At 34.0% G+C, this 19,425-nt stretch overlaps 1 protein-coding gene across 4 annotated transcripts in view; it reads left to right on the top strand.

Annotated features, from left to right (window-relative positions):
• SGCZ (sarcoglycan zeta) overlaps nucleotides 1–19,425 on the top strand; it is a 1,153,587-nt gene that overhangs the window by 991,568 nt on the left and 142,594 nt on the right. For all 4 annotated transcript variants that reach the window (NM_001322881.2, NM_001322879.2, NM_001322880.2 and 1 more), the window contains one exon: nucleotides 9,185–9,272. In NM_001322881.2, coding sequence (NP_001309810.1) covers nucleotides 9,185–9,272 — 88 coding nt within the window. The remainder of the gene's footprint in view (nucleotides 1–9,184; nucleotides 9,273–19,425) is intronic.

The raw sequence follows: 19,425 nt of genomic DNA, 5'->3' as shown, positions 1-19,425 counted from the left end.
ATCTCGGCTCACTGCAAGCTCTGCCTCCCGGGTTCATGCCATTCTACTGCCTCAGCCTCCCGAGTAGCTGGGACTACAGGCGCCCGCCACTATGACTGGCTAATTTCTTATTGTATTTTTAGTAGAGACGGAGTTTCACCATGTCAGCCAGGATGGTCTTGATCTCCTGACCCCGTGATCTGCCCGCCTCGGCGTCCCAAAGTGCTGGGATTACAGGCTTCAGCCGCCATGCCCAGCTTTTACTTTTTATTTCTTTTTTTTTTTCTTATTATACTTTAAGTTTTAGGGTACATGTGCACAATGTGCAGGTTAGTTACATATGTATACATGTGCCATGCTGGTGTGCTGCACCCATTAACTCGTCATTTAGCATTAGGTATATCTCCTAATGCTATCCCTCCCCGCTCCCCCCACCCCACAACAGTCCCCAGAGTGTCATGTTCCCTTTCCTGTGTCCATGTGTTCTGATTATTCAATTCCCACCTATGAGTGAGAACATGCAGTGATTGGTTTTTTGTCCTTGCGATAGTTTACTGAGAATGATGATTTCCAGTTTCATCCGTGTCCCTACAAAGGACATGAACTCATCATTTTTATGGCTGCATAGTATTCCATGGTGTCTATGTGCCACATTTTCTTAATCCAGTCTATCATTGTTGGACATTTGGTTTGGTTCCAAGTCTTTGCTATTGTGAATACAGCCGCAATAAACATACATGTGCATGTGTCTTTATAGCAGCATGATTTCTAATCCTTTGGGTATATACCCAGTAATGTGATGGCTGGGTCAAATGGTATTTCTAGTTCTAGATCCCTGAGGAATCGCCACACTGACTTCCACAATGGTTGAACTAGTTTACAGTCCCACCAACAGTGTAAAAGTGTACCTATTTTTCCACATCCTCTCCAGCACCTGTTGCTTCCTGACTTTTTAATGATTGCCATTCTAACTGGTGTGAGATGGTATCTCATGGTGGTTTTGATTTGCATTTCTCTGATGGCCAGTGATGATGAGCATTTTTTCATGTGTCTTTTGGCTGCATAAATGTCTTCTTTTGAGAAGCGTCTGTTCATGTCCTTCACCCACTTTTTGATGGGGTTGTTTGTGGTTTTTTTTGTAAATTTGTTTGAGTTCATTGTTGATTCTGGATATTAGCCCTTTGTCAGATGAGTAGGTTGTGAAAATTTTCTCCCGTTTTGTGTATTGCCTTTTCACGCTGATGGTAGTTTCTTTTGCTGTGCAGAAGCTCTTTAGTTTAATTAGATCCCATTTGTCAATTTTGGCTTTTGTTGCCATTGCTTTTGGTGTTTTAGACATGAAGTCCTTGCCAATGTCTATGTCCTGAATGGTAATGCCTAGGTTTTCTTCTAGGGTATTTATGGTTTTAGATCTAACGTTTAAGTCTTTAATCCATCTTGAATGAATTTTTGTCTAAGGTGTAAGGAAGGGATGCAGTTTCAGCTTTCTACATATGGCTAGCCAGTTTTCCCAGCACCATTTATTAAATAGGGAATCCTTTCCCCATTGCTTGTTTTTGTCAGGTTTGTCAAAGATCAGATAGTTGTAGATATGCGGCGTTATTTCTGAGGGCTCTGTTCTGTTCCATTGATCTATATCTCTGTTCTGGTACCAAACCCACAGTCAATATCATACTGAATGGGCAAAAACTGGAAGCATTCCCTTTGAAAACTGCCACAAGACAGGTATGCCCTTTCTCACCACTCCTCTTCAACATACTGTTGGAAGTTCTGGCCAGGGCAATTAGGCAGGAGAAGGAAATAAAGGGTATTCAATTAGGAAAAGAGGAAGTCAAATTGTCCCAGTTTGCAGATGACATGATTGTATACTGAGAAAACCCCATTGTCTCAGCCCAAAATCTCCTTAAGCTGATAAGCAACTTCAGCAAAGTCTCAGGATACAAAATCAATGTACAAAAATCACAAGCATTCTTATACACCAATAACAGACAAACAGAGAGCCAAATCATGAGTCAACTCCCATTCACAATTGCTTCAAAGAGAATAAAATACCTAGGAATCCAACTTACATGGGACTTGAAGGACCTCTTCAAGGAGAACTACAAACCACTGATCAATGACATAAAAGAGGATAGAAACAAATGGAAGAACATTCCATGCTCATGGGTAGGAAGAATCAATATCGTGAAAATGGCCATACTGCCCAAGATAATTTATAGATTCTATGCCATCCCCATCAAGCTACCAATGCCTTTCTGCACAGAATTGGAAAAAACTACTTTAAAGTTCATATGGAACCAAAAAAGAGCCCGCATCGCCAAGTCAATCCTAAGCCAAAAGAACAAAGCTGGAGGCATCATGCTACCTGACTTCAAACTGTACTACAAGGCTACAGTAACCAAAACAGCATGGTACTGGTACTTTTTATTTCAAAGAACAAAGTAAACACTTGTTTTGCAGCTTCAGTGGGTCAAGTATTAAGGAAAGGAATGACGTAGCTGCCTTGGGCACAGGGATGATGAATAACCATTAAATAATAATTTGATATGACTTGTTTCACGGAAATGAATTTTTACCAACCTTGCTCTGGGGAAGAAAAAGAAGAAGAATGAGGAAGAGGAAGAAGGAAGAGAAGGAGGAGGAAGAAGGAAGAGAAGGAGGAGGAAGAAGGAAGAGGAGGAAGAAGGAAGAGGAGGAGGAAGAAGGAAGAGGAGGAGGAAGAAGGAAGAGGAGGAGGAAGAAGGAAGAAAAGAAGGGGAGTAATGGCTTCCTAAATTTGGTGTGATCTGAACACAAATCCACTTAAACCCATGTAGCCTGGATCTTGTAATGTGCTCAGTTCAGTTCATTCATTCAACATGCATTTATTGAACATAAAGTATGTGTCAAGCGTGACACAAACTATACTTTTAAAAGTCTGTATGAGAAAAACTAATTGACAGCATACTATGTTTTCAGGACAGTTCAGTTAAATGAAGGTTACAAATCACATGAATGATTAAAACAAAGTAAGTCAAAAAGCCTACAACGAGTACTGTGATCGATGTCAACACTGACTGAGGAACTGAAGGGTGGGAGGTGAATTTTAACTCTGGAGGAGTAGAAAGGCTTCACAGAGGACAGGACTTAGACTTGGACTGGAAAAATGTCTATACTTTTTCCTGATAAAGAGACATGGATAAGAATTTCAGGCCTGGGAAACTGAAGGTGAAAATAAATATAAGTGGTATGTAGTTGACAAACATGGGAAATTTGGCTTACTCTTAAATGACGGAAGTGAGGTGAAGTAGAGATAGAAAAGTAGAATTGGGTCACATTGTGAAGAACCTTACATGTTATGAACATAAATTTCTTTCAAGCTGAGAGTTAGGAATCAATCAGTGTTTTGTTTTCTTTTCATTCAAGTATGCCAATATGTTTTAAAAGTATTTTTAAGTAACACTGGATATGAAAAATCGAGTGGTTATTGCGATGTGAGTTTTAAATCTGTTAGAGAAGTAGGCATGGAAAAACAGGAAAAGATGCATTCAAGAAGTATTTCTGACGCAGCTGACTGAATATTTAGGAAGATTAGAGGAACTGAGGATAAGGTAGATTTGTTGGCAAATTCTATATTTCCATCCCTGAGAAGAAAATTTTTCTTGTAAACTATACAAACTTCGGTAACAAAATACCAAATTCACATCATCTACACTGAACAAAATAGGTCACTAGTGATGTTCTTTCAGAATACCAAGTAGGGAGATTTGCATAGGCAATACTTTCTAAAATGTGTAGGCAGATGACAGTTTATAACATACCCTCCTCATTTGGAATCTGAGGAGACAAAATGAAACAAGACAAACAAGGTCATGCTACCAAAACCTGGATGATAGCAGCAAAGTAGAGGTCATATCTTACACTTTAAGCTTTATGTGTTTGTGTGTGTGAGTATAAGATGTTTCTTTTAGAGACCAAAATGCTTAAAGAAATTTTAAAGTATGTTTTGTTGAATTCAATTTCCTATTTTTTTTATATTGGTTTGACATTTCAGAAAATCTAGAATTAGATGAGCCCCAAGAAACACAGTACTTCCTCGTGGTAGACAGGGCATATTTGAAACAAAATTATGGAGTTCCAACATGGCTTGTTACCTTTTTTAGCTGTGTCATTTGAAGGAAGTGACTTAATCTTTTTGTACTATACTTATTTGTGAAACAAGAGTGATGGTATCCAGTATTATTAGTAGTAAAATACTATAGTTAAATTGAGGAATAAATCATAAAAGCACACATTGCCGTCAACAGAGGGAGGCTCTGATCTGTGCATTTTGCATATGTTGTCTCATTTAATCCTTATAACAAGCACATAAATTATGTGCTATGACCCCTATTTTACAGATGAAGAGACTATGATGCAGAAATGTGGAGTAACTTGGAAGTCAGCATTTGGCAGCCTTTGGGCTTGAACTCAAATGGTCAGGGTCCCCTGTCTGTCTTACAATCATGTTATTATCTTGACCCTTCGTGGATGGTTTTATTGTAAGCTTCATAACTGGATGATCTCATATATGTAAAGTATTTAGAGCAGTATCTGGCATTGATTAAGGGCCAGTAAATGTTGGTTGCTGTTTGTACCACTGCTATTTCACTACGACTTAATGTAATAGTTAAACTGGAGAGAATGAGCATCTGAAGCTAAATCCTTACCTGAAACACCCATATCTTCTCAACAATATTACTAATGCTTTTTTAAGGAAATATCTGTCACACCAGCCTGTTCCTGTTAATATTCTCTGTTTGTATGATTGTTAATTATCTGGTTTATTGTCTGTCTGGCTACCAGATTGGGAACTCCAGAAAATAAAGAAGTCTGTCTCCTTTCTTTCTCTTTTGTATCCAGTGGTTAGCAGAGTGCTGAATATATTACAAGCACTGAGTAAATATTTGTTATAAATAAAGTGAAGGCAATAGAAATAAAAAGAAAAAATCATTTTTCCATTGGTCATATGCATAGCCTATCAGAAAAAAATATTAAAATGAGAAGAACATATTTCATTATTTTTATCTAACAGTTAGAAAATTGCAGCCATGCCCTTGGCATGAAGAATATGTGTGTAACAGAATTGTAAGCAGAACCTCTCAGGCCCACTTAACAGTCTCGTTGCCTTTCTAACTGGATCACCTATCTGCTTTGTCTAAAGAGTGACATAAGAAGGCGGATATGTCCTCTAGAGCTAGAGGCAAGTTCGGGTCAGCTTCGGAAAACCATGAGATACCTTATTTCTGTTATAGGAGATTTATTGGCTTGGAGGAAAAATAACTACATCAGAAGATAAAGATTTTCTTTTTCCAAAAAAAAAAGATATTTATGTTAGTATATCATGCTATATATTATATATATTGTTTTATGTAGATGCTATATATTATATATAGGATATATATTATTATATATTGTTTATATATTTATACTAGCTTATCATGCTATATATAAATATTATATCTTTATAGTAGTGTATCATGCAATATATTAACTACTTTCTTACTTTTACATAACTTAAATATCTGATTACTATTCCATGAGAAAATATCAACAAAATAGATTTCTCTCCTTTATCTTCTCAGCAAGAATAAACTATAAGAGAGTACTACTATGTCTATTTAAATATCTTAAACCACATATTCGCTTTCAAAATTTTGGAACACACAAGTATAATATAAAGGATATAAATCAGACAGTGGAATGGAGTAAAATATTAGTATCAGTTATTTTCTCATTTTCTCATACAGAGACCTTTGGAGAAACAAACACAAGAAAAAAGACATAAAACTTAAGGAGCATTCATTTCTTTATTTAGGGAAAACATTTCTTAAATGTCTTTCTTTTTTTGTTTTTAAGAGGTGGTATGTTGGTGCTGATTCTAACCTAAACATATATTTGAGATCAGATTTATGAATTGCTTAGGATTGTATCTCCCTTAAATGACTGAAAGATTTTTTCATCATTATACGTATTTTTATCACATACATGTGTTTTAATTAGTACTGAGTGGATAGTGTGTAAAAAGTCATGTGTTAAACCTCAAATGCATGAGCAATGGGTCTAATCCACAAAGATATGGTATTGATATAAAATACAGAAATGATTATGTGACTTGTGGATGGAAGTGATGATCCTACAGGCATCAAATTTCATTTATCAAAAATGGATACTTGGTTTTGGTTCAGATCACTTGATCACATTATAATAAATAAGTATAGCTTAATACTATATTGATGTTCATAGGAACACAGCATAGAGAATAACTCACTACCTCTGAGAGCTACACGTTTATGGTTCTACTAAGTAAAAAGATTATTGGTGCTATCACAGTGAAATTTTAATCTAGATATAAAATTTTAATTCTGACAAAAAATTAGGAGAATTATATGAAAAGAAGGGAAGAGTGCTAGAGACAGAACTTCAACAAATTCTCTGCGGTTAGAGTAAAAGGAGATTGCTATGTTGCAAACAAAGATGCGGAATGATTAAACTTTTAAACTTTCAGTTCTTTTTTTTTTTTTTTTTTTTTTTTTTTTGACACAGAGTTTCGCTCTGTCACTCAGGCTGGAGTGCAGTGGTGCAATCTGGGCTCACTGAATCCTCCACCTCCCAGCTTCAAGTGATTCTCCTGCCTCAGCCTCCCGAGTAGCTGGGATTACAAGAGCCCACCACCATGCCTGGCTAATTTTTCGTATTTTTAGTAGAGATGGGGTTTGGCCATGTTGGCCAGGCTGGTTTCAAACTCCTGGCCTCAGGTGATCCTCCCACCTCAGCCTTCCAAACTGCCGAGATTGCAGGTGTCAGCCACCACGCCCGGACTAAACTTTCCATTCTAACAAGTCTATTTCTCTTTTAAATTAAGTAAACTATCCATTGCCTTCTCAACCTAATTATTCTATTTTAACATGTGTAATAAGGCAGTAATTCTTTTTTTTTTTTTTTTTTTTTTTTTTTTTTTTTTTGAGACGGAGTCTCGCTCTGTCGCCCAGGCTGGAGTGCAGTGGTGGGATCTCGGCTCACTGCAAGCTCCGCCTCCCGGGTTCACGCCATTCTCCTGCCTCAGCCTCCCAAGTAGCTGGGACTACAGGCGCCCGCCACTACGCCCGGCTAATTTTTTGTATTTTTAGTAGAGACGGGGTTTCACCGTTTTAGCCGGGATGGTCTCGATCTCCTGACCTCGTGATCCGCCCGCCTCGGCCTCCCAAAGTGCTGGAATTACAGGCGTGAAATAATTCTTATAATATACTTACATAGTCTATAAATTATATATACAAATGCTTATGGTGTTTTACTCTATTGTTGACATAAGAAGCTTATGTTTAATATGTCTAGTAACTCAAATAAAAACATATAGTGTCATATATTTTAAAACTCTAAACCAAACTCATGTATGCTATATCATACAAATATTGAGAGAAAGTGAACATAATTTTGACCTATAGTTTTTTCACAATTTTTTGAACTGCAGGATGTTTCATAGACTTTTCCTGTTTCTTACATTCAAATATTCAAATGTGTTTAATTCAAAGCTCCTTTTTAACATACTTACATTGAATTTTGCCAAGATTGAATAGAATTTGTGTGTGTGTGTGTGTGTGTGTGTGTGTGTGTGTGTTCATGTATGAACCATCATCTTTATGTCATTATCAAGAGACAGTAGTATTCTTATTGGGTATAAGATAGCTGTTTGCAAACAATCTTTAGTCCATGAACTATACTTTAAACAGAATTTGGATATATCACTTGATTAGGATGATGTAATTAATTTTAAATATTTTAGATCTTTTAGGAGATAAGTGTCTGTAGGTAGTTACACCTATGGAAAAAAAAACTAGACTTTTTTTTCTTTTAAATCTGTCGAAATAAAAATTTTATATGAATTTTTATATATATACATATATATCTCCAAATCACCAATTCCAAATCCTAATATTGAGAGTTTTAATATAGCTTACATATGAAAGCACTTGTATATTGACATTGACATAGACGTGACATACTGCCTAGATGGTAAGGATGATATTGGAGGAGATTTTCATAGTATTTCAGCATCCACAATGCAAGCACCAAGAGGGCAAGTTTTGTTCTATTTTTTGATCACCGAAATGTCCCCCCCCAGAACATTATATTGTACATAATGAGTATGCAATGAATATTTATTGAATAAATTAATAGAGATTTGTAAATGATCACCCTACTTAGGTTTTAGAGCGTTAAAATGAGAATGTAGGGATTTGGATGTTACTTGTCTGTGGAAGGTATGACAGAAGCCTAATATGTGAGCTGTTAAGGCAGTGTTATTGTCCTTCAATCAACTGTTTTACTGTTAAATGCTAAATTACTAATAAAAGTCAACACGTTACCAGAGTTTTATGTCCTAAAGGAGAATTTACAAAAATCAGATATTGTATATACTTCCTTGTGAAATCCTTGTATGATTTACAGAGCATTTCCATGAGATTGAAAAATAAGTTACTATAGTATCAATTTTACTCTGAAGATTTTTTTATCTACTCAGTCAACACTTCATAAATTATTTCCTTCAGCAGCATGCTTAGTAATAATGACGTAACTGCATAGACACAGCTGTCATGGTTCCTGTCCCTGGATCTTTCCTTTTGTGACAAAATTAAATAAACAAGCAAACAAAAAAATCCCAGATAGACACGTAAAATTAAATTGCTTTGTGATAAGTGCTTTAAACAAACTAAATGGACATTGGGAGTTTGAGGATTGAAAGACTCTGTAGTTACACTGATTAGATGAGCCAATTTTGAGAAGGTGGCATTTAAGCTGAGATCTGAAAGATGCAACTTAAACTTAAAAAGGGACTTTTGCCATTGGGATAGCGTCTGGAATATCTGCACAGGCAGGCATAGAGGACACTGGGAGAGAAAAAGGAAAAGGGTTACTACACCGTTGATGTGCAGCAATCAGTAGGGTTGGAAATGCTTGCATCTGATAGTTAGTACCCACTTATGAAAATGAAATATTCTGTCAAGTAATTATTATGAGGCTCTCAGTTTTGTACATTGTCCACCAATGATTGGGACGTTAAATTAACTGTCTAATATAGAGCAAACAAATTAAATTTTTCAGAATATCCAAACAAATGCAGTATATTTTTTTGTAAATTTGACGATATTTCTATTTTCTATTTATTTATTTTATACATGTTTCCCAGGATAGTCCGCTGGTCTTACAGTCTGACAGGAATGTCACAGTGAATGCAAGAAATCACATGGGGCAGTTAACCGGACAGCTGACCATAGGTGAGTGTTTTGGGGTAAAGATTGCTCCTACTGTGCTTGGTTTTTTTTGTTGTTGTTTTTGGTTTTTGGTTCTTGTTGTTGTCGTTGTTGTTGTTGTTGTTGTTGTTTTGAGACAGAGTCTCACTCTGTCACCAGGCTGGAGTGCACTTTGGGAGGCTGAGGCGGGCAGATCACGAGGTCAAGCAATCGGGGTCATCTGGCCTACTGTGCTTGTTTTAATTGAGAAAAGTGGAAGTATGTTATTTCCCTGATACATAACTCAACATTCCATTACAGCCCAATTTTCTTGCACATGATTTGACTTGTCATAGGCTAGTCATGTTTCCTGTATTTAGTAGTTATTACTCTTGCCAATGTATTATTTTGAGATTGAATTACATTTATTTTGCTGGTCATTACTCTTGAATTATGAAATGCACCATTTTTCTAAGAAATATTTTCATAGCATATGTTAAATTATAATAAATAAACTTAAGGAAACATGAGATAACATCATTAGGTCTGTGTATCCCTTTTCTAGGGGAAATATTTTCTAATAAATTGTATCTGCTTATATAAATTAGAAATTGCATGAGTATAATAAATATTAACATTTATCAATTACTTCTATATTTGATGTTGAAATTATATTTTAAGATTTATAGGCTTTATGTGTTGTTAATATAAATTAATGGTGAAGTATTAATTTTTTTCTCATAGCAAATAAATATTTTAATTTGGAGATTTATATCAAAATACAAGATTGATTCCTTGACTCAATTTTTATAAGAAGGCAAATAAGAAGTAATTTGTAATTTAAAGTTTTGATATGCATGTAGATTCTGAATTATTTTTGTAACACTGTATTGGTTCTGCAGAGAAATTACTTACCATAAACATTACATATCTGTTTATCTCTATCTAGTTATACATACATACACATATATATAGAGAGAGAGAGAATGAGAAAGAGGGAAAGAGAAAAGTAAATTACAATTTTGAGGACTGAGGTATTCTTATTTTAATGAGAAATTAATCATCTTTAAATGCAAATGTATATTTCCAATATTTCTAATTAAATTATGCAAAAATAATACATTTGAAATATGAGCTTTAGAAACATGAATTTTGATTCTGTGTACTTAATTTGTAGGTTTTTTTTAAATATTTGTTTTGATGAACCCAAAAAGGAGACATTTTAGCATATATGAATTTTCTAAAAATATAGTTTTATTTGTAAAAATTGCTTTGCTTTACATCATAAAAGTTTGTCATTACATATCTATTAATTGCTACAACTGGATAATATTTTGTGATAATTAGAGATATAGCAGTTATAGAGGGGTGCTATTAGCAAATGGATTCAAGATTAAATAAAAGAGATATGTGTATGGATATAGAACTGATTCAGAAGCAAGAACCATCCACTTAAATATTCATGCTGTTTCATTCCTGTTATGTTGGAACTGCAGAAACTATAGGCCTATGGAAACGGGCCTAACCTTAGTAGATTTTCCATGTCCTAATTTTCTTAAAGTTGAGAACTCTTCAGCCAGATAGAACTGCCTTTTGCATTCAGTCCTTGATATAAAAAGAAGTTCTTAGTAGAAATGTCAAAATGTAAATTAAGGGTCAGGCACGGGAGCTCATGCCTGTAATCCCAGCGCTTTGGGAGGCCAAGGCGGGCGGATCATGAGGTCAAGAAATCGAGATCATCCTGTCCAACATGGTGAAACCCCATCTCTACTAAAAATACAAAAATTATTTGGGCATGGTGGTGTGTGCCTGTAATCCCAGCTACTCAGGAGGCTGAGGCTGGAGAATCACTCGAACCCAGGAGGCGCAGGTTGCAGTGAGCCGAGATTGGGCCACTGCACTCCAGCCTGGGGAATAGAGTGAGACTCTGTCTCAAAAAAACGTAAATTAAGTGCACCAAGAATATATACCCATGCCCACTGTCAGACACAATAGCTACTTAATGCCCGCCTATAGAGCAAAGCAATCATTTGATTACGTGAAGTGCAAATACTGTTTGCATTTCACTGCATGCTTTCCTGCAGGAAATAAAGAATTTAGTGTGCTAGTATTTTCAGTTACCGTTCCAAACTGATTTTAATGTTATATTGGCATTTGCCAAATGAGAGAAAATAGCAAGAGGAGGACGGAGAAAGAAAAAAATGTTAAGCTGAGTTTTAAATGCAGCAAATTATTAAGTTAATGACACAGCAGCTTGTTGTGCGGAGAAATGCATTTATTCTACTGAGGCTTACACTTAAAAACTATTTAATATCCTGGTCCTTTGAGTGTATTTTTGATGACTTATGTATTTTTGCTGGTTTGCATATTTTAGTGAACATAGAACAAAAGAAGACTAGGGCTGTGTGAAAGGAGATAATGTATTCATATTTGAAACAAAGCCACAGGGAGCTATTTAGTAGTTGGTTGGGTGCCAATGAAATAGTTAATCTTTTGGACACTCCGTTTTCTCATCTCTAAAATGGGGATAATGACACATTTTGAATGCTGTTATAAGAAGTATGGTGTTGTCAGTGTCTACAAACGGTAGGGAATTGTATATTGAATCTATTATTGTGATGATGGTGAGTGTAATTATTGGTATCACTTAAGTTACAAATACAGTGATATTATGGGAGAAATCTCATGATGCTTTTCTATTCAGTGTATCTGTGTGATATTAGATAAGGTTGAATTATGGTACTGTTGAGAGATACGTTACAAAACACAACACAGAAAGTGTATCCCATGTTCAGAAACTCTTCAATTATGTAAGAATAAATTTACCTTTATGTAGAGTTTGAAGACATACTTGAATGAATCAAGCAATGTAGAAAAGTAAAATTTAATTCTAAAGACTCTAATTTTAATTGTGTATACATAAAGTAGCTGTTCTAACCCTCCTTGTCTATTTCTTTTCTTATTCTTTCAGTTTTTATGTGTATGGCCTTGGTTATAGTACAGTCATGATACTATTTTTGCAATATTAAAAAAATTAGCACACAAACTGAATAGTTAGGGAAAAGAATTTCAGTTACTCTTCATTTTCTAAGTAAAACAATTCTATTGTCTACCAATAGAATGCATCGATTTCTGTTAGAAAGGTATAGTCAATTCTAAAAACATAACAATTTGAGTATTTTCCATATTTTATTCTCATTGTACCATTTTTCCTCAAAAATATATGTAAGTAGTTTCAGCAAAGCGAATATCCATTCCTCTTGTACCCCACCTTTTTCTTTCTCTGTAAGCCTAGCTTCCTACTAATTCCACTCACAGGGATATATGTAGTCCAGTGATTAGGCCATCCTATGTACTAATTCTAATCCTGACTCACTGATAGAATTTTAAATCAAATTATTTCTAATACAATAAATGCAAAAGAGAAATATTTTATATGTTTCTGGCTCAAGCCTAACAAAAACTAAATCTAAATATTTTAAAACTTTAGGTAGAAAAATCAATTTGACAGATATTTTCTGTGAATTGATGAAGTTCCAGGCTTTATGAATTTGACCAAATAATATCCAATTTCCCCCACTAAGTCTAGGATTCTAATTTTCTTGACCTTCATAACATTGGAGGAGATTGATGAACTCAAGATTTCTTCCTCCAAATTTCTCTTCTTAGAATAAAGCTGAAAGAGAGGAATGAGATTGTTGTTGAGAAGTGGTTAAAGAAAGTACAACATCCCAAGAGGTCAGACTCCTTGAAGAAAAAGCAAGAACTTTCTTAAACGAGTCTCAGAACCATTCTCCAGGTCAAAATTTTCTATTTAATCTATAATTATTATGTTTTTTAGCAGAATATTATTTTTCTTTTATAGGTGAAAAAAGTGTTTGACTTTAGGTGTGTTATATATTCATATATGTTGATAACATGATGATATTTTCCATGACTTTCTATCAAAAAAGTGGGCAAAGGATGTAAATTATGCACCATCTTTGTGAAATTTGTTTTATTATCTCAGGAAAGATATATATAGAATATATATATATATCTATATTTTATATAGAATAAAAATCTTTATGGTAGTATAAATAAAGTATTATGCAGTTTTTATACAGACTTTGTTTACAACGCTACTAATAATAATTCTGTAGTAATTTGGATCACTGAAAATGTAATACTGTTTCCCACAATATCATGAGGATAATTATATTTTATTTATCAATAACATTACATTGATATTTAACATACTATTTTTAAACTACATTTATAAGTAGTTTACAAAGTATAGGTTGATTTCAGTAAAATAATTTCTCCTTTAAAAAACTTAGCCAGCATGGCTGTTATTAAGCTATATATTGCTTTTTCTTATATTACAAAATATCTTTTATTTTTGATGAAGTAATAGCTAAAAACTAATATTTTATTTTCCTTTCTCATGTGCCTTATGCTGTCAGTCTATAGCTGAAGGATAAAAATGAAAGGAGGATAAATTCAGAAACTGGAAAAAGAATAATCTTAACTGGTAGAGCTAGCTTTGTGTTTTGTGTTTTGTTTGTTTATTTGTTCGTTTTGTTAGCATTCCTCATTTAAATTCTAGTCCCAATGACTTTTGAGATACTTATTATGGCTACTTATGGGGCCCTATGTCATAAACAAGAAGAAGTTCCACAATCCCACATCTATATTATTATCCCAGTAAAACATTAAGGTGAATTGGGTATTAAAAAACTGAATGTCATTCTTCTGAAATTTTAGTTTTAGAGTGTGCTTAAAACCACAGTCTTATGCTTTAAATAGGATCTTGTATTTCATCATAGGTATCCTTGTTTAATGCTCAATAAATTTGGAAGAATGAATTCTGAATGAACTAACACCTAGGGAAGCCTTGCTGTTATTGTCAGAATCATTTACTTGTCTTTGATATTCTGCTAAATGACGAGTTAATGGGTGCAGCACACCAGCATGGCACATGTATACATATGTAACTAACCTGCACATTGTGCACTTGTACCCTAAAACTTAAAATATAATAATAATAAAATAAAAAATAAAAAACAAAATCAGTGGCATAACCAAATTGTATAAAAATCTTAATTATAATCTTTAATTTCTCATTTTCTGTTTTTCCTCAGTAATTCTTGAAACTTAGGGCTTAAATAAGCCTGACTATATGTTAATAAGGAAGAATGTCATTTGCAAGCAATTAAACAAAGTGATATTTGTATTTATTATGAGTTTCCTTTTTCATATTTTACACTTTGAGCAATTAACATCACTTAACAATAGAAACTGTTGTAAACAGCTTTTGTAGCAGAGTTGACTGGTTTCTTCAGAGATCTGAGGTGCTTGCCTTCTTTGTCCAAGAAGGTTTATGAAGTCAGGAAGTAGAGATAATGATAATCAGATGGGCCACAATAAAGGTTTCAAGATTGTTCATTTGCACTTCTCAGAGTGTGTCAATCAGCTACACACTTAAAAATTGAAATTAAATATATATGTATATATATATGATGAAAGAAGATTTGTTTGATTAGAAAATTGGTCATTAGGATTCTGAAAGTAAATAATTTTGAAAATTTGTTTTCCTGTATTTTTTGAGTCAATGTCTATTAATAATAGCATCCATGTTGTGAAATAACTTCCTTTTTAAAACTATGTAAGTTTATAAAAAGATACACATATATCTAAAGTTTCTATTAGTAAATGTTTACTCATAAGAAGGCATCTCTATCTTACAGAGTAATTAAACTACAGTGATGTTCCTGGTAATAAAGGGGTAAAAGGAAATGTAACCAAATGATCCCACTGTGCTTTAAAAGAACGCATATGATCTTATGAGAAACAAACACGTTTTTCTCACATGTGCTGAATAAAATGTACATTTTGTTTAATAGGGAGAAATCTGGATGATATGCCCTATTTTTAACAACTCTACATTAAAAGAATCATTGAGCCTAGTAATCCTCTGACAACATGCTTTAAAGAATGCTGGATTCATAACAAAAAGGGTAGTTATGTAAAATAATTGTGGATGGGAGACAAATGAACAGAGCATGTTTATTGGTCCAACTCAATTCAGAAAAAAAAAATCTAGACTTAACTGCAAGACATGGTGTGTGTGTGTCTTTTAAATACACTTTAAATTATGCATAATTGGACCTGTGTTTGCCATTGGTCAATTGAGGTGAGATCTCAAAACATTAGTGACTGTGGCTGGACCTGTTTGTTTCTGAAATAACATGACCTCATGATGAAATTGATATTGATGAAATTCCTTAAAAAAGGCTGAAGACCTTCCCTAAGACTCTTAACTGGGCCAGTGCCCCTCTGCCCACCTCCAACATTCAAGACAGACACACTCTCTCTCTCTGTCTCTGTCTCTCTCTCTCTCTGTGTCTCTCTCTCTCTCTCTCTGTCTCTCTCTCTCTTTCCCCCTCTCTCTCCCCACTACACACACACACACACACACACACACACACACACACTTGCCCAAAGAATCAAAGCAAGGAAAGTACTAGGAAGCAAAGTCAGAGTCAGGACACCTTTTAGAAAAAAGATTTCCCAGTCCATACACATAGGCTGATTAAAACCTCAGCATTTTAATTCATGCAATATACTCCAACATAATTTGAGTCTGGATATATTTTTTAAAGTAATTTCTATTCATTTACCACGTTGAAATAAAATCTCAGTAATGTATGCAATTTGTACAACCACGTATGTTTAAGGGAAACTATATTCCTTTACTTTTTAACCAGTAGATACTCTTTCGTGTTTCACAAATTTAAGTTATTCCAAAATTGCACCATATCAAACACAAAACATGTTTACTAGAAAGGCACTTTGATTATTAAGAGATGTTTGAGTAACCACCCCCCCACCACCACCAAAAAAAAAAGAAGGAAAGAAGACAAGAATATATGTTCAATTAAAATTATTAAAACATGTAGGAATATATAGATTTTCACTAATAATATTGTGGGGACAATCATATGATGTATACAGTATGTAAAAATGTCATGGAGAGTATTTTCATGTGGAAATCATGATATCTTCAGAAACTATTTTTAGGAAGGACGTATACTTCACCAATTAATGGCATGGATTTTGGAGACTGCTAAATCCCAGATCTGTCAACTGCCCGCTATGTGACCTTATGTACATTACTCCAGGCATCCGTTCCAGGTTTCTGTGGGGAATATGAGTATTTGCCTCATATAGTAGATGTGAAAATTAAATATGTTAACATATAGTAAGGTATTGGAACGCTTCCTGGAGCATAGTATGCATTATGTATAAGTTAGTGATTGTGATTTTTTTGTTCACACTGCATGTGTACTACTCTATACACATGACCAAGTCTCTGGGATTTAGTTGCCTTGTGTATGAAATGAGTCTGTTTTGCTAGATTGTCTCCACGACTCTTTTCTGTTCCAAGTCTAAATAATGAAAAACTACTTTTTACCTTTGGAGAAGGGAGTCAGTTGATGAATCTACTGGTCCTTACGTTCCTCAATATTCAATTATCCTGACAAAATGCCATCTGATTTGATGTTTTGACATCTTAGCCATAGAGCATAGGCACGTATTTTGTGCAAAAATTTAAAATGAAGAAGGTAAATGAGCACAACTAAATCAACATCCTAGCTATGCTTTTACTCTTTCATCAAGTTATGGCATATAAAAAGTTTTATTTTTCAATGAAATTTAATCCACAAAACAGTTTAAGTCCAATCGGCTTATTTTTGTTAGTGCTAAGCATAAACATGTTTTTGTTCCTAAATGAATGGAGAAAAAATGTAGATGAGGGTTTTATAATAAATATTTAAAGACCCTGAAAATGACATGCAATCTTGCGTTAAAGCAATTACAGTGAACACCTGGGAATCATTTAATTGACTGCAGATGGTATAGGATGTATAAAAAGTAGAAGGTTATGGATTATTCTCAGGTTCCAAATTTATGTTTTTTTTAATTGACTCTTTTTTTTTTTTTAACTTAGAGAATGTTGTAATAGTCTGGGATAATTTAATAAGAATGAATGTTTGATGTAAAGTGAGTTGTGCAAATCTTGAAGGATAGATTAACAAAATACTTAGGTTTAATACTACATATACATTTCAAATGATTAAATGCATTGTTGATTTTGAGTTCATTATTAGTTAATTCATGTTAATAAATTTATAATTAATTAATCCATTTGAGGAAATTGTAAGTTGAAGTAGATGCCTGTGATATCAGGACAAGGATGTCACGCTTTAGAAATTAGAGCTCTCAGTCTTTGTAACTCAGGTGTAATGAGAATTATGTCTGAAGGAAAGACACTAGTGATCATGTTTTGAAAAGTTGTATCAAAGGAGTATTTATATTATTTTTTAAACATCCTGAATCATTATACCAATGCCTCAGAGATGCTCATTGTTTGTGTCCTACAAACAGAAATATGGACTGGCTGAAATATTTAATTAAATTGACAATTATTTGTACAGATAGAAGTGCAGAATCAGGGAATTCTAGAGATTTTCCTTCCTGGAGGACCTAGACTAAAACCTGAAAGAGACGGTTTGGCTGGTCATCTTCAACCTTTGCTGGCTTGCTCCTTCTCTTTCCAAGTACCCTATGCCCTTGTTTAACATCAATCACTGCAGTTCTACAAAGCCAGCTCCGCTTAACAGTGCTCTGTGCTGTGGTCCTAAAGACCATTCTTGCATGGCATTGGCCTCTACTTCTCAAGACCAAGGGTAGCTAATCTGGTAAAATCATTCATGCCTATATGTCAATGAATACTATATCTTTGAAATTTTTCCTTTTCCAGACAAAATATACATATTTGAATATATGGCCTTTGGTAACAGTAACTTTAGTTGTTAAAGTAATTCTAGTCTTGAGGGTATATAAATGAGGGTGATAGGATAAAGTGACAAACTGTGCCTCTTTTAAGACATATTGTAAAGGTGTCCCACTGCTTTATTTTAGCACTACTTAGGCCGCCCCCATCTCCTTATATATTAATAAAAAATATAATACAAGTTTATTTCAATAAATATAATGCACAGACTAATTATTTCTTAAGTGCACAATACTGCAGAAATCACTAAGCAGATGAATAAACATTTTATTAATTTGATAATTATATAAGTTTATTCAAAATATGAGTATATCTCTAGTGTTTGAATTTTAATATTAAAGTAATTGTGATAAAATAGAAATGATATATTACAGAGCCAGTTAAAGGATAAAAGTAAAATAAGTTAAACAAAGTAAGAAAGGAGTGGCTTTAAATTTTCTCTTTTAGATATTTTATTAGACCTTATGACTACATACCTTATCTGAAATTAATGAGTCTATAGCTTATATACTTAACCAAGTATTGTTTTTAATGAGGCTTCCTTTGTGGGACGTCGGAATTGCAGGTGCATTGGAGTTCCATATATAATTGTCTTATGGAACATGCAGTTTTGTGTTTGCCTTGATAAGAAACATGTCTTTGGAAATTTGGTTAATGGGGCATAATGTTCACTAATGTAAGGTTATGGGAATAATTATCTGAAAACATCTGGAGGCAGGAAGCTAAATAAAATTTAGGAGTCCATATGTACACAGAAGATCATTCACTTCAGTATTAGGGTTCCTAAATGAGGTGGCACCCAAGCCCAGATGACTGCACAACAATACTAATTGCCTGGTCATGGGGTAGAGAGAGAGAGAAGCTAGGGGGAAACCATTACTTATGATCTAGGTCTGTTAACTACAGTTACGTTTTTGTCCTGACTTTCACTTTAGATTTTGTGTCTATTCTTGTATTTAGTTTTGGGAAAATTCCAAGTCAGATAATGCATATACCAGAAAAATAAACCGTAGTGGGAATAGAAAATTGAGCAAAGGAAGAGGAGAAAATGAACCCCAGCTATTCTTCTGTTTCCAAGTATTTATTAGACTCCTGACAACATATATTTCATAATGAGGAAACAGTATTACCCAAATCTCTTCAGATTTCTTAAGATTGTTATGAATCCCTTAATCAGCATTCTTTGGTTAAAATATTTAATCAGTTCTGAATTCATTTGCAACCTGTGTTTCCAATATTATTTCTAGATATTTTATAATATATTTGCCTGTAGTTAAGAATTTTTAATACTATATGATCCCTCTATGTTTTGATCCAATAATCCTATGGAAAAAATGAAAAATCTCATTTTGTCATGGC

Source organism: Homo sapiens, chromosome 8, assembly GCF_000001405.40.
Source record: "Homo sapiens chromosome 8, GRCh38.p14 Primary Assembly".
NCBI classification, from domain to species: domain Eukaryota; kingdom Metazoa; phylum Chordata; class Mammalia; order Primates; family Hominidae; genus Homo; species Homo sapiens.
Note: the sequence above shows the minus strand (reverse complement) of the source record. Positions and strands in the feature narration are given on the sequence as shown.